The sequence below is a fragment of the Homo sapiens genome, chromosome 1 (genome assembly GCF_000001405.40).
Source record: "Homo sapiens chromosome 1, GRCh38.p14 Primary Assembly".
NCBI classification, from domain to species: Eukaryota; Metazoa; Chordata; class Mammalia; order Primates; family Hominidae; genus Homo; species Homo sapiens.
In genome coordinates, this window is record NC_000001.11 from 116,936,921 (window position 1) to 116,953,027 (window position 16,107).

Here is a 16,107-nt window from a genome sequence, read left to right on the forward strand (position 1 = left end):
AAAGAAAAAGAAAACAAATAATAGTGAAAACATAAATGTTCATAAAGTATTTTAGTAATAATTGATAAGGAGAAAATTTGGCAGGAGCAAGAATGGGGATGTGCCACTTTAGGGTGCTCAGGAAAGGCCTCATTGAGAAGGTGACATTAGAATATGGATCTGAAGCTGGTGAAGGAGCTAGTGGGATGAATGTCTGAGAGTGTCCTGGGTTGAGGAAATGTGCAAGGGCCCTGAGGTTGCAGTAGGTGAAACCTTGGGAGCAGAGCATGGCTGGAGTATAGTGGAGGAAGAGGAACAGACAGGAAGTCCAAGAAACAAAAACGGCCAGGTCCTGTAAGGATTGCCTCTATAAGGATTTCAGCTTTCATCTGAATGAGATGGGAAGTGATTGGAGACCTTTGAACAGAGTAAGATATAACCCAACTTAAATTTTTCAAAGATCACTTTGCTGTATTGAGACTAGAGAACAAGAATGGAAGCCAGGAGAACAGTAAGGGACACTGCAGTAATGCAGATGAGACGGGTGCTGGCCGGGGCCAGGGTGACAGCACTGGGGGTGGCTGATGGGTTGATTTTGTCCTATAGGTGATAAGGAGCCATTAAAGACTTGATCAGTGAAGGGACATCGGATTTGTATGTGGAAAATATGATTTTGGCAGCCCTGTGGAAGGATTGGAGAGTTCAGACAAGGAGATGAATCAGTTTCTAAAGCTCTGATCACTAAGGATAAAGATAGAGACCTTACAAGGATGCAGTCTCATGCTTGTGGGTAGGTTGTCCACCCTGGCCAGCTTCTTGACAAGGGATAGGAATGGAAAAGATTAACACATTAGGAAATTCCTCTGTAAACCTAGCCAAGGAAGCAAGGTGAATGACTATGATCAGGTTTATCCTAGAGGTGGCCTGCTCAGCACATAACCGCAGCCCCTTGCCATAGGCCAGGGATCATGAGTGCTGTAAGTACATTTCCTCATTTAATCCTTACCACAGCCCTCAGGGAGGGTGGTGACCACGGTCTCCATTTCACACGTGAGGAAACTGAGGCACAAGAGGGTTAAGCACAAGGCTGTTTTGCCTCTAAAGAGTCTCCACCATGATGCTTTCTTCTAGAAGATCTCATTGGGAGATTCAGAATTGTCTGGTTGTCTCAAAAATTAAATGTAAAAAAGTGATCACCTCATTTCTTTGTGAACTGTGGTAATGATGGCTTCAGAGAATTAGTCACTGCTGGGTAGTGATATATTATTTCAACGTTCTTTGAGTTGCCAGTGACAGAAATTACCTTTACCTTAAGAAACATAAGTAGGCTGGGCATGGTGGCTATAATGCTATAATCCCAGCACTCTGAGAGGCCAAGGAATATTAGTCCGTTTTCACGCTGCTGATAAAGACATACCCGAGACTGGGCAATTTACAAAAGAAAGAGGTTTAATTGGACTTACTGTTCCCCATGGCTGAGGAAGCCTCACAATCGTGGCGGAAGGCAAGGAGGGGCAAGTGACATCTTATGTGGATGGCGGCAGGCAAAGAGAAGAGCGCTTGTGCAGGGAACCTCCCCTTTTTATAACCATCAGATCTCACGAGACTTACTCATTATCATGAGAACAGCACGGGAAAGACCTGCCCCCATAATTCCATTACCTCCCACCAGGTCGCTCCCACAACATGTGGGAATTAAAGATGAGATTTCGGTGGGGACAGAGCCAAACCATATAATTCTGCCCCTGGCTCCTCCCAAATCTCATGTCCTCACATTTCAAAACCAATCATGCCTTCCCAACAGTCCCCCAAAGTCTTAACTCATTTCAGCATTAACTTACAAGTCCACAGTTCAAAGTCTCATTTGAGACAAGGCAAGTTCCTTCTGCCTATGGGCCTGTAAAATAAAAAGTAGGTTAGTTACTTCCTAGATACAATGTGGGTACAGGCATTTGGTGAATACAGCTATTCCAAATGGGAGAATTTGGCCAAAACAAAGGGGCTACAGGCCCCATGCAACTCTAAAATCCAGCAGGGCAGTCAAATCTTAAAGCTCCAGAATGATCTCCGTTGACTCCACGTCTCACATCCAGGTCACGCTAATGCAAGAGGTGGGTTCCCATGGTCTTGGGCAGGCTCCGCCCCTGAGGCTTTGCAGGGTACTGCCTCCCTCCCGGCTGCTTTCACAGGCTGGCATTGAGTGTCAGTGGCTTTTCCAGGTGAACGGTGCAAGCTGTTGGTGGATCTACCGTTCTGGGGTCTGGAGGATGGTGGCCTTCTTCTCACAGCTCCACTAGGCCATGCCCCAGTAGGGGCTGTTTGTGGGGGCCCTGACCCCACATTTCCTTTTCCTCACTGCCCTAGCAGCGGTTCTCCATGAGAGCCCCACCCCTGCAACAAACTTCTGCCTTTCATCCAGGTGTTTCCATACATCTGAAATAGAGGAGGAGGTTCCCAAACCCTAATTCTTGACTTCTGTGCACTCACAGGCTTGACACCACGTGGCAGCTGCCAAGGCTTGGGGCTTGCACCCTCTGAAGCTATGGCCAGCTCTGCATTGGCTCCTTTCAGCTATGGCTGGAGCAGCACCAAGTCCCTAGGCTGCACACAGCACAGGGACCCTGGACCTGGCCCATGAAACCACTTTTTCCACTCCTGGGCTTGTAATGGGAAGGGCTGCCATGAAAACCTCTGACATGCCCTGGAGACATTTTCCCCATTGTCTTGGGGATTAACATTAGGCTCCTCATTACTTATTGCAGATTTCTGCAGCCGGCTTGAATTTCTTCTCAGAAAATGGGTTTTTCTTTTCTATTACATTGTCAGGCAAATTTTCCAAACTTTTATGCTCTGCTTCCCTTATAAAACTGAATACCTTTAAAAGCACCCAAGTCACCTCTTGAATGTTTTGCTGCTTAGAAATTTCTTCCACCAGATACCCTAAATCATCTCTCTCAAGTTCAAAGTTCCACAGGTCTCTAGGGCAGGGGCAAAATGCTGCCATTCTCTTTGCTAAAACATAACAAGAGTCACCTTTGCTCCAGTTCCCAACAAGTTCCTCATCTCCATCTGCAACCACCTCAGCTGGGACCTTGTCGTTATCAGGCTTTTGGTCAAAGCCATTCAACAAGTCTCTAGGAAGTTCCAAACTTTCCCACGTTTTCCTGGGAACCCAGAATTTCAAAACATGAATTAAACCAGTGAAAAAAGAGTGGCAGTAGTATATTAGTTTGCTAGAGCTGCCGCAACAAAGTAGCATGAACCAGGTTGCTTAAACAGACATTTATTGCCTCACAATGCCAGAGGCCAGAAGTCTAAGATCAAGGTGTCGGGGAGTGGTTCCTGCAGAGGGCTGAGAGGGAGAATCTGTTCCGTGCTTCTCCCTTAGCTTCTGGTGGCTTGCTGGCAATTTGTGGAGGTCCTTGGCTTGTAGACATATCCACTTAATCTCTGCCTTATCTTCATGTGGCTTTCTCCCTGTGGGCATGTGTGTGTCCAAATTACCCACTTTTTAAGGATACAGTCGTATTGGATTAGGGGCTCACCCTATTCCAGTATGACCTCATCACAACTAATTATATCTGTGACAACCCTGTTGCCAAATATGGTCACATTCTGGGGTACTGGGGGCTAGAACTTCCACAAGGAATTTTGGATGGGGACATAATTCAACCTATAACAAATGATAAAAATACAAAATTAATAAAAGGTTCCCATTTCCTGGAGCCCTTATTACATGGTAGACTCTCACCTAGACATTTTATTTCATTAACTCAGTGAAGCTGCCTTGTCCCAATTCATAGTGGCAGAAGTCAAAGGTAAGAGAGGTCTCTCAGATTGCAACTTAGGTCTCCTTGATTTCAGACATGCTTTCTCTTTTATATGTTATTGCAAGAACATCACAAAGGAGCTATATGTGTTTATTTGGTGCAATTGAAATGCTAAACAGGTAGTAAATACACTGCAAAATCATGCTGAAGTTCATTGCAATGAAGACATCTTAAAGGACTCACAGGTGCCAGTTGTAGGGTCCCTACCAGAGAGGGCTGGGAATTGCACACTCTTAGGGAAGGGAAAACCAGTGAAGTCTTGCCTGTGTCCACTGGGCTTATACCCGGCAACCAGCTGCTGCATTCCTAAGAACACCCAGCAACCAACCTGCCTCTCTCCCTTTGTGCTTCCACATCCTCATTCTGAATTTAGATCAGAACAAAGAGTAGAGAAGGAAATGAGCCAGAAAATAGAAAATTAATACTTGGTAAAATCATCATATTTTAAAATTAATTTATAGGCAATGTCAGATAACAGGAGTTAAATCATTTTATCAGCAGGCTGCTCTAGGATTTAAAAATTGGCATCCGTCATTGTAAATCAGGTCTCAGGAGCCCCAGGGAATGGTCTCTAGGGATGAGGGCTGATGGCTGGGCAGAAATGTAAACACTTGACTGGCTGTGCCCTTTTATTTCACACAAAACCTAAAATATTTTTACATCACATGGAGTGGTTAGGGTGTGTTAAATAGTAACTGGAGGGAAGAAGCTATTGAGGTTTACAGTTAGCCTGCTTTTAATGCTTATCTTCCTCCCTGTTGGTCCTGGGAAACTGGTTGTGTGAGAGATGCTCATTTTGAGGTTGCATTCCTGGCTCATTATTTAAGGGTTAGGCTTAACCTTCTGCATAGATACATTTTCCCTAGTAGTTTGGCTGTCACGTTTCTGCCATGCCTGTGAGCAGGAGCATCCACAGGTTTGCCACATTTGTCCTGGGAAGACTTTCTGTGATTAAAGACCTGCCTTTCATCTTTTATCATTGCAGCTCTTTGCCGAGGGCGTGTGGTGAGAGTCCCCACAGCGACCCTGGTTCGAGTGGTGGGCACTGAGCTGGTCATCCCCTGCAACGTCAGTGACTATGATGGCCCCAGCGAGCAAAACTTTGACTGGAGCTTCTCATCTTTGGGGAGCAGCTTTGTGGAGCTTGCAAGCACCTGGGAGGTGGGGTTCCCAGCCCAGCTGTACCAGGAGCGGCTGCAGAGGGGCGAGATCCTGTTAAGGCGGACTGCCAACGACGCCGTGGAGCTCCACATAAAGAACGTCCAGCCTTCAGACCAAGGCCACTACAAATGTTCAACCCCCAGCACAGATGCCACTGTCCAGGGAAACTATGAGGACACAGTGCAGGTTAAAGGTACAGTCCTCACATGGGCTTGTTATGCCAGGGGCCAGACCTTTCTCTGCCCCTGGGCTGTGGTGGACTTTGTCAAGAGACTTAATTTCTCTGAGGCTCTGCTCCCTCCTCTGTCCAGGGGAATAATCATGTCTTAAATAATCATGTCTTAAAATTTAAAAATCATTGTTATCTGATTAAAGGCAGGGGATGGGCCAGATGACCTCAGAGGGCCCTTTCTCTTCACTCCGGTATGGTTCTGAGCCACCCTATGCCCAGTGAGGTGGAGGCAGCATGATGCGGTGGTGGAGAGCTGGCTCTGGAGCCAGGTTGCCTGTGATTGTTTGGTCCAGTTGCTGGCTCTACTACTTGTCAGCTGCATGGCTGTGGGCATGTTACATGCCTCAGCTTCCTCCTCTGTAACCTTAAAGGTTGTGAGGACAGCTGAGTTACCAGGTGTAAAGCCTTAGAGCAGTGCCATGTAAGCATTCAGTGGTTAGTGACAGGAAGGGGATGGTCATGTTAATGATGCTCAGGTTTATGGGAATCACAGGCACTTCAAAGTTCATGTCTTTCTCTGTGGCTTTCATGATTTAAGTACTTGTTTGTACCAGATGTTTTATGTGTTATATGTAATGTGGTCTCTGCTAGCTTATTGACCTAGCTTTGCAAATATTACACCTTATGTACCTGGAATGTTTTGGGATTTGTTTTGGGGGTTTTGTTTGTTTGTTTCATTTTCCAAGTCCTTTTAGATTTACTCACACATTCAATTCTCTGAACCCAATCAAAATAGGGCAGAATATTTCCCTAATTTATACATGAGGAAATGGAAGAGCATAGGTTAATTACTTTCCTAAAATCACACAGCTAATTAGTAAACGAGCAAGAACAAACCATTTTAATTTGGGGCTAAGAAAATAGAAACATTATAATTGTTGTTATTGTTACTTAATTATGCATTTATTTGTACCCTGCCTTGTTCCCAAAAGGATTTATGTCTGGGTCAGAATGTATGTAATTATCAGAAAGTAGAAAATGCACATGATGATATAAAAAGCGAGGGTTGATTGAGGCATTCATTCCCTCATGACTTGTAGAACCCTGCCATAGCTCAGAGACTGTTCCCTCACTAGACTCATCAGGGGATAAAACTGTCCATTAAGGAGGTAATGAAACACCCCATCTACCTCTTTATTCCTATAGAAAATTCAGAACATGTTATTTAGAAAAAGACACTCTTGTATTGGAGCTAAATATTGCCACATGCCACTTTTTCATTAAGCCAGATGCCCCCTTGTATCCCCTTGGAGTCTCCTCTTGAGTGGGAGGGAGAGTAAGGGGAGAATTCCCCCACCCGCACCCCACTTCCTCCAGTATCTTTCAGCCTCTTCTGCTGTCTTTGGAAGGCAGGAGACACAAGAGGAGGCCTTTCTTGGGTGAGGAAAGCAATGGATGACCATGAGAGAGACTGACTGCTGCCCAGGTGGAGCCTCTGATGGTTGCCATGTGTGGTCCAGGATCTGCCCGGCCTTCAGCTTCATGGCTCTTGAAACTATTCATCTGTGCTCTGAGAGATGAGCTGGCCTTGAGAACTGAGTCATATTAGCCAGACTCACAGACTGATACATATACTAGAAGGTCATTATATTTATTTTGCAGTAGAGATGGGTCTTCAGGATGTGTCCTCCTAAAAATGTAGCAGCTTTTAAATGTTATCTAGAATAGCCCCTTCTCAAGGACACTGAATTAGTTTCTGAATATGGAATTGGGGGGAAAAAAAAACAGATGATGAATAGTGGTGTTGGAGGGTCCTCTTAGCCAGCTCATGGATAAGCCTGATAGATTTTTCCCTGCTGCTTGGTAGTGGCCCCCTTTCTGGTTACCAGAATAGCAGTATCCATCTACTGCTTTTTTCCTGAGTACACCACCCATACTTCCTTGATCGCCGTCCCCTTTTTCTAGACTCTGTAGAAGTGTCTGGGCCTGTTCCTATCATGTGGATATGCTGTGTTCACCCTAGACATTCTTGGGCATTCCCCAGGCTGCAAGCCACAGGCAGCTCATGCCATCCTTTCTCCCCTGTGGATCTTGCTACTTTAAGTCTAGAAGGTCACCTTATCTGCAGATTCTGCGGGCTCCCTAGCCTAGCCCTGGTCCTAAGCAAAGAAATGTTTGACAGTCATACCCAATGATTTATCATGACAGCTGAGTGCCAGGCACGGTCCTGGGAACTTACCCTGTTTAACTTAACTCTCATGTCAACTCTATGACGAAGGTCCAGTTGTCATCCTCCTTTTAGGAAACTGAGGCACAGAGGGGTAAAGTAACTTGCCTTAAGGGTAGCAGAAGCACATCACATCCCCAAGGCACGACTCCCACAGGGAGTTTTTACCACCCACTTCTAGCATGGGGTTTTTTTGGTACCTTTATTTTTCTTTTTCAAGTCAGAAAGTCAATTGAGATTACAGATGAATCCAGTTGGGAAAACGTGCCCATCCGGGTCTTGGAATGGGAAAGGGAGGAGGAAATTGTCTGTGGTTGCAGCGGTGGGCTGGCCCTTGCCGGCTGGGGTCGGTGTGGACGGGCTACTGACCTAGCTTTCTCTCTCCGCAGTGCTGGCCGACTCCCTGCACGTGGGCCCCAGCGCGCGGCCCCCGCCGAGCCTGAGCCTGCGGGAGGGGGAGCCCTTCGAGCTGCGCTGCACCGCCGCCTCCGCCTCGCCGCTGCACACGCACCTGGCGCTGCTGTGGGAGGTGCACCGCGGCCCGGCCAGGCGGAGCGTCCTCGCCCTGACCCACGAGGGCAGGTTCCACCCGGGCCTGGGGTACGAGCAGCGCTACCACAGTGGGGACGTGCGCCTCGACACCGTGGGCAGCGACGCCTACCGCCTCTCAGTGTCCCGGGCTCTGTCTGCCGACCAGGGCTCCTACAGGTGTATCGTCAGCGAGTGGATCGCCGAGCAGGGCAACTGGCAGGAAATCCAAGAAAAGGCCGTGGAAGTTGCCACCGTGGTGATCCAGCCATCAGGTGAGCTGGAAACGATGCGTTATAGGTGATGTTATTTTGTGACTAATGATAGTGATACAAAGAACCGGGCCAGGGAGCCCCATGGCCTTCTGACAAGAACTGTTTCTGCTTCCCATGTGAGGCCTTATTTTTAGGGGTGAAGGGAGTAGGGTGTTGAGAGGTTGGAGGTGGGCGGGGTTACATTTGTTTTGTGCTGAGGATGCCTGTCGTTTTGCTTCGCAGCTGCTTTTATCTAAATTCATGTCCATGGAAAGCCACAGCCTGCACATAACACGAAGGCAGATCTTTCACTCAGAGTTGAGGTGCTGTGGTCCCTCAGCCAGATTAGGTAGGACTTGGTGTTCAGTGGAGCTTTGGGGTGAAGGTGCCACACCCTGCCCCTAAACTTTATCGGGTTTGATGTTTCCTGAGTCCTTTGACGTGCCTTTCTCTGCAGCTGTTGGAGTGTGTGCCTGGCTCATCCCAAAACCTTTCATCTAACTTGTATCCTCTAGGCCTGCCTTTCGGTCCCCTCAGATGTGCTTTTCCTGGAAGGGGGAGGAGCTCTCTAGGGCAGGGCCGCTTCTTGCTTTCCTGTATCATACAGACCACAGGAGCATCCAGTCCTGGGGTCTGTACAAGAAGCCCTTTGTCCTGTCGTCTGTGAATCAGCTTTTTTTTTTTTTTTTTCAAACCCTCTACTGCAATTATAGAAGTAATTAAGAAAATACAACATGCATTTTAGAAAACACATAAAAATAAAAGGAAAACATGGTCTTGTTGACTCATTGTCCAGCCAGCATCAATGGAGGACCTACTGTGTGCTCAGCTCTGTTCTGGGCCCTTGGGTCAGAGGTATTTGAGGCTTGTTCCCAGGCCCTGTGGAGCTTTAGGCTTCACAGAGACAGTGTAAAGAGACCAAGGAAGGGCAATGTCATTGCTCAGGATGAGTGGATGTCCTTGGTTTTCTGCAAGTCTGACATCTTCAGATCTCAGAGTACTTTGCTGCTGTTGCTGCTGCCTTCTGTTTTTTAAACTGGGAAGACCTTGGTTGTTGCACTCATTTCCTGAGCATGAATGTGAATATGTGGTGGCTCTGTTACTCAGATGGGAAGGAAAGCAGGAAACAACACGCAGGGGGAATATTTTGTCTCTGAAGGTGCATTGTCCTGAGCTCTTTACTCTGCACTTACACCACAGCACAGAGCCTGGATTTGGAAAAGTGGGTGGTGGAAAAGCAGGTCTGAGGTTCTTGAGTGACTATGGCCATTGAGGAGAGGAGCTGCTCATTACTGGTCAGTCTGGGCTCCACTGGCTGCAGAAATCGCTTTCCAGATGGACTTAGGTTACCTTCCTGATCAGAAGTGATCGCTCTGCAATCTGCCCTAAGAAACCTCTAGATATTAAACTTGCATCAAACAACTCTTAAGAGTTTCAGCTGTGTAGAAAGTTTACGCTTTTTTGGAAGAATTTGAATTGTAAAGACATTTTTTGTTTCAAACACACCATGAGACCTATAATATCTAGCTAAGAGACTTGAACACTGAACTTATTAGGCAGGTAATATCTGGCTCTCAGATGAGACAGGGTTCATAATCTTTTTGTGCCATGAGACTTTTCGACAGCCTTTTGAAACCTACAGACCTTTTCTCAGAATTAACATGTTTTAATTCATAAAATACAGTACACAAGATGACAAAGGAAAATAATTATATAGAAATCGTTATCAAAATACTTGTAAAGCAAATTGATTTTGTAGTAATATGCTGCTTTATTAATGCATTGATAATAAGATAGTGGCAGGCTTAACAACTGTACTTTCTGAATAGTAATGAGTATACATGATATTTCAGGATATCTGCAGCAACTGTAATGTGATTTCTATTTGGGGTAGTTCCAGACACAGGTAATACTACACTGGTTTGTTGCTTACTTTCACAGTGGGAGGAGATGCTATATTTCAGGTACAGATTAATAAAAATAAAGATGGAGTTTTTTTCCCATCCAAGTTCACAGACTCTAAATTCTCTTTGTGGATCCCAGGCTAAGAACTGTCACACTAGGCTGATGGTCCTTCTCTTCTTGTCCACACCTGCACTATCCATAGCTGGCTGCTTATATATTCTTATCACATTGTTATGATAAATGGCGCAGAGTGAAGCTGTGCTACCCATGTGGCAGGGAGCCTCCTCCCCAGCCCCTCCTCCCTGTCATGGGAGTGGTCTGGTTGCTGCAAACTTTGTCTGATTTATGGATTTAGTTATATTCAGGGACAGAGAACCTGCCCCACCACAGGCTTTGCCTGAGGTCCCTTCTTTCATTACAAATACTTAGAACTGGTCCTTTTTTTCCCTTTAGCCTACTCCATCCTGTCTCTCAGCAGTAAACTCCCAAATCCAGAATGTGTGGGACCTCTGGTTAGTGATGTGACAAGATACTGAGCCACTTGCACAGAGAAAATTACAAAGTGAACTACACAGCTGAAGAGACATCCCTGCCAATATTTTCTGAACCTGAGACTCTGTTTTCTCCATCCATACAGTCCACAGCTGCTTGTTAAGTACTTCGTCACTGACCCGACTCCCTCCTGAGTCGTCTTTTACTTCCAGTAGCTGAAGTCCTGGCAGAGGTGACTCCAGCAGGATTCCAGGGTTTCTGGCCACAAGCTTTGACTGTAGAATGGTTCAAACTGCAGAGCCTGGCTCAGGGCAGCAGTTTCCATACTTAGTCCTCACAAATGATACCCTCAGGCTACTTTTGGCCCTTTTAAAGAGATGATCGAGAGAAAGAATTAGGAGACTAGGTGGAAGGAGAAATTGAACTTTTAAATTGCCTTTTCTAATACTGTGCCCACCTTATTTTCTGTCTTCTGTCTAGCTGGATCTTGAACTTGACTTGAAATATTTGTTTGAAATATTGTCAGGCTTTGGACATATTCATATGAAAGTAATTTACGCCAAGGAGCACGGGCTTTGGAGTTGGTCTTTTCTGAATTGGGTCCCTGAGCTTACTGGGGCCAGCGCCATGCCGTTGATGCCAGCGACTTGCTAGAAGGCCAGGGCTGTGCCTCTGCTTGAATCCCCTGGGAAGTGCTTGGTACTTGTCATCTAAGTAATTGTTCCCGGACATTTCACAAGTTGATGTTTTTCTACTCAGATTACAGATGCTCTTTTAAAATCTTCTGAATAGAATAAAATGTTTCCATGTGAAAGCTTTGACAGGGGAATGCTGGAACTAGATCTGCCTTGAGTCTGTGACACCAAATACTTCAGTGCTTCATCTAAATATAGTCTACTTTTAATTATCCACACTAATGAGAAAGGACAGTAGTGCAGATAATCCAAAAATCATCGTGTTTTAGTTTTAGAATATGTTTTATGATTGGCTTTTATGTGGGAATGTCTAAGAAATAAATTATACTCTCAGTACATTACATTTTGAAGACTTGACTCAAGGAAAATTGTCTGGTTTCACTTTCCTGGCCCTTCTGTTTAGGATTTTTCCCTTTTATCCCTTAGACAGTTTCACCCTCACTTCTGCTGCCTTATTGCCTAGCCCCCAGCTAACAATATGTACCAGTCAGAAGCAAGTCTTCCTTTTCTGTAAAATCACCCAAGTTTCATCATGCACATGGAGAATGTATAATTTTAGTTTTACAGTCTTCAATAGACTGCTTATCAAAAGATAGCATAACAGTGAAGAGCAGAGTTTCTAAAGGCAGATAGCCTGGATTTGGATTCCATCTCTGCCACCTATCAGCTGTGTGACCTTGGGCAAGTTACTTAACTTCTCTGTGCTTCAATTTCCTCATCAGTAAAATTAGGCCTCTTAGGGTTGTTTTGAGGATTATTATATGTAAAGCACTCAGAACACTGCCTGGCATATATAGCAGATATATGTAAATGTTTGCGGCTATTGTTGTTTTTATAAAATAAGAAGAAATGTGGTATGTTCTGTTAATTTATTCATTAAATATTTCTCAAGCACTTACAACTGTACAAAGCCTTCTAACTTTAATGCTGTAAATAAGAACTTAAAAGGAGATGCTTTAAAGAGGGTGGAGAATAGAAGGGGCAAACATAATCAGATTACCTAGATGTATTTGTTTTTAATTTTCAAGTTCTGCGAGCAGCTGTGCCCAAGAATGTGTCTGTGGCTGAAGGAAAGGAACTGGACCTGACCTGTAACATCACAACAGACCGAGCCGATGACGTCCGGCCCGAGGTGACGTGGTCCTTCAGCAGGATGCCTGACAGCACCCTACCTGGCTCCCGCGTGTTGGCGCGGCTTGACCGTGATTCCCTGGTGCACAGCTCGCCTCATGTTGCTTTGAGTCATGTGGATGCACGCTCCTACCATTTACTGGTTCGGGATGTTAGCAAAGAAAACTCTGGCTACTATTACTGCCACGTGTCCCTGTGGGCACCCGGACACAACAGGAGCTGGCACAAAGTGGCAGAGGCCGTGTCTTCCCCAGCTGGTGTGGGTGTGACCTGGCTAGGTGAGTGGTTTGGAGAATGACTCTTAACCTCTTCAGCTTAACCCCTCCTCGGAGTTATCTGAAGGAGTTATCTCAGGAGGCTCTGCGCTTTGCATGACTTCGACATTATTTCTATTGGTTCATGCATACTTTGGCCCAGATAGATCCCAAGCTGGGGATGAAATAGAATCTGGCAGACAAGGGAAATGTTTAGATAATGTGGCCTCAGTTGTCTCAATACCCTCATTTGAGAGTATATAGTTTCCTTTTGTTGTCGACATTTGCAGGGTCAGGGCACTGCTGAATGGCTCTTTGAAATGAATCTTTGTTGGAGGGAGAACACTGCCATTCTTCCTTTGTTTCTCTTAGACTCCTAGGTGCTCCCTGGCAGGAGCTGGTGCTTTTCCAAAGCCCAATGCAGAAAGATAATTCCTTCAGTTATTAGAAAGCATTTTTTTTTTCACGTCACGCCCTGGAATCCCACAATATATCTGTATATACCACTTACAACTAAAGGGCCCGCCTGCTTCTATAGGCTTGTTTTGTGGACGCTCTCACCCCAGGTGTAATTTCCCCAGTGGAGGAGCAGAGTAGCTCTCAAGTGTTGAGCACCTTGCCACCCATTTTATAACAACCTGCCGTATATGTGGAGATCTTTGGCATGTCCTCTTACTTTATACTAAGCTCCTTTTCCCCTACCTCTTTTTTCCCTAAATGTTTGCCCTCTGGGCAAAATGTACACTAACTTTTCCTAATTTTTGTTATGTCTTGTAATTGCAAGTAATCAAAGGAGGGATGGGGTCAAGCTGGGTGTGGAAAGCTTCGCTCCCCACCTCCATTATTACAGAGATGGGACAGGCCTTTCATCACATTCCCCCCTGTTTTGATCTCTCTACTGTCCGTGAGTGCCTGAGCCCTGATAAAGGCATTTGGCATTGCTCTGATTATTAGCAGGCAAAACAGATCTTTAAAGGCCAGGAAACCATTTCCTCCTTTGTCTGATTCTTCTGCTATGACCTCCAACTCATACTTATCTATTCCTTATCTCTGCATGGAAATCTTCTCTTGGGTTAGTGGCATATTCGCTCTCCTTTTTTTTTTCCTCCCCAGTAAGCCTTTATTTGGCAAAGATGGGGAGTTGGCCAGTGGAGACAGAGGGGGCAGGGAGAAGAAGAGCAATGAGAGTAAGCGGAAGGGACAATCCGATTCCGATGGAGACGAGGCAGGGTGTTCATCAGCCCTGTTAGCAAAGTAATCCTTTGATATCTGAAAAGTAAAAGAAGCGGGGTTTATCTGGCAAGCTTTTTATTCCTGCCGTCTGAACCCCATGCAAGAGAGTCACTATGAAGTACTGAACTGGAACAATGTTGGCCCAGCTAGAACTCTCCTTAGCAACCTTCAAAATAAAACAGATGTTGTCAGCACCAAAAGAAGATTTTTCATCTCTGGAGCTGAATTTGTCTCACAGCTCTGATCCTTAGTGTATTGTATGGTGCTGTCAAATCCCAGCACTGGCTCTCCGTACCCGCTCCCCCTTCAGCTTCTGAATCCCAACTCGAGGACTTTTTTTTTTTTAATTGAAAGTGCTGCTTGCACTCCAATTTGAGGCTTCTTTGAAGTACGTGTGCATTGATCCCGGCATACCCGGGGGGAGATGCAGGGACTGTCAGACAACAGGAGCGGAGCTCTAGGAGGAATGGGCTCCTTTAACTGGAAGGGATTTGTTGGTAGCTGTGTTCTCCAGAGAGTGAAAAGAAATAAAGAGACTAAATTGTGGAAAAGGCTCAGTTACTATCCAAAGGATCCCGTCATTTGTTTTCCTTTGGAGTGCTACTACCATTGTGAAAGTCATCAGTGTGCTTTTCCTGACTGATGCTAACAGATACAGAACCTGCACCTTCCCTGCTGCTTTGCATGTAATAAGCACTCAATAAATATTAGCTGAACGGGTAAATAAACCAGTACCCACACATGGATTTTGTTAAAATATGTGCATAGGAAAGCTAGAATTGCTAAGAAAGCAGTAATGTTCAACTCCTAGGATATTCAGAGATATTTGCCCCTGAGTAAACCTAACGAAAGAGCGAGTAGTATGAAAAACAATTGCATTCTTTTTTTTTTCTTCCTCTTAAGACTTCTCCTCCTTCCCTGTGCCTATGACTCAGACCATTACAGCTGCTTGGACACTTGTCAGGAGCGGGTAGGGCATGAGCATAGCAGCAGACCCTTCTCAAAGACTTCCCCGCTGGACTCTGTCCAGAAGCCAGTGAGCCTGGCCTGACACTCCATGGTTGTCTCTAGATATGTAATGTGCATGTATATGCGTACGGATACCATACCACATACAACTTGGGACCAATATAAGGTAACCGAGAAGTGACCAAAAAAGATAGACAGACAACCTGACAAGCACTCTGTTGATATAGGTGGTCTTAGGTCATGTAACTCTGGAATGTTGTCACAGAAAAGTTTTCGAGAGAGTTGGTTTGCTACACAGGTAAAATGCAAAACTCAGTTTTGCCACTTGACAGATTAAAATGAATAATTACCATTTATTGAGCATCTACTGTGTGCCAGGCACTGGACTAAGGACCTTATATGCATTAAATGTTCAATGTGAAAATATTTTTGGCCTTGGGACTCAGCTTCATTCCTGAAACTCCAGAGCATAGTCCTAAGAGCTGGGTAGTTCTTGTCTTCATTTGCTTGGGGCTTGTGTACTGAGCTAGGTGAGGGGATTGAAGCTGATTGGGGTCTTCTAGAGTTCCACTGTGCTAAGCAGGAAGACGGGGCAATGACATGAATGGGCCTGGCAAGTCCAGAGCACTTGCAGCCACTGAGAGGATCATGATAATGTTTTAGATGTTGAGAAAAAACCTCTTTTACTTAGAATGTATGTCCTACTTTAAAGGGAAAGAAAAAAAAGATTTAAGTTGGCTTGCAAAATGAGGTACAGTTTAAAGCAGGAGACATAAAATCAAGATCAAAAGGGTAAAAGAAGAATAGATATTGCAAGGTGGTTGGTATGAATTAGTTATTATATTTGAGCACTGAATTTGCCTCTGAAGTTCTGAAGAGTTGAGACAAAAAAAAAGATGTGATTATACAGTTCTCCTCTGAGGAAGGAAAACATTAACTCTTTCAGCAAGACAAACTTTCTCTTGGCATTGAATTTATCATGTGCTTTTTCATTTTGGGGCATTGGAAAAGATAATAGACAGGGCTTTCAACTGTTCTTTTACAAAAGGCCCTAAATGATGGTTTAAATGGATGTTTCTTATATCCACCCTCTATAAAAGCTGAGGACATAAATCTTAAGTGTGTGAAGGGTTTCTGTAAGAAGCTCAATTACTATGGGGGACAAATGATGCTTTGTGTTGATCCAATTTAGTATATGTCTAAAACAGAGAACCTAGCAGAATGGCTAGTTAATCTGCACATTAAGCCATCTCCTTCTGCTATCAGATGTCTTAAAT

General features: G+C 45.0%; 1 protein-coding gene across 2 annotated transcripts in view, besides 2 other annotated features; it reads left to right on the top strand.

Annotated features, from left to right (window-relative positions):
* The window catches only part of PTGFRN (prostaglandin F2 receptor inhibitor), an 80,438-nt gene that overhangs the window by 27,005 nt on the left and 37,326 nt on the right, over nucleotides 1-16,107 (top strand). For both annotated transcript variants that reach the window (NM_020440.4, XM_017001874.2), the window contains exons 2-4: nucleotides 4,795-5,163; nucleotides 7,759-8,172; nucleotides 12,272-12,652. In NM_020440.4, the coding sequence (NP_065173.2) occupies nucleotides 4,795-5,163; nucleotides 7,759-8,172; nucleotides 12,272-12,652 (1,164 nt within the window). The remainder of the gene's footprint in view (nucleotides 1-4,794; nucleotides 5,164-7,758; nucleotides 8,173-12,271; nucleotides 12,653-16,107) is intronic.
* Nucleotides 1,874-2,423: an enhancer, noted in NCBI's record as "H3K4me1 hESC enhancer chr1:117481416-117481965 (GRCh37/hg19 assembly coordinates)". NCBI's record gives its function as "activates a minimal SCP1, AML or CMV promoter by ChIP-STARR-seq in naive H9 embryonic stem cells {active_cell/tissue: H9 hESC(naive)}" and the evidence as "EXISTENCE:reporter gene assay evidence [ECO:0000049][PMID:30033119]".
* Nucleotides 10,313-10,513: a silencer, noted in NCBI's record as "peak385 fragment used in MPRA reporter construct". NCBI's record gives its function as "represses an SCP1 promoter by STARR-seq MPRAs in K562 erythroleukemia cells {active_cell/tissue: K562}" and the evidence as "EXISTENCE:reporter gene assay evidence [ECO:0000049][PMID:32103011]".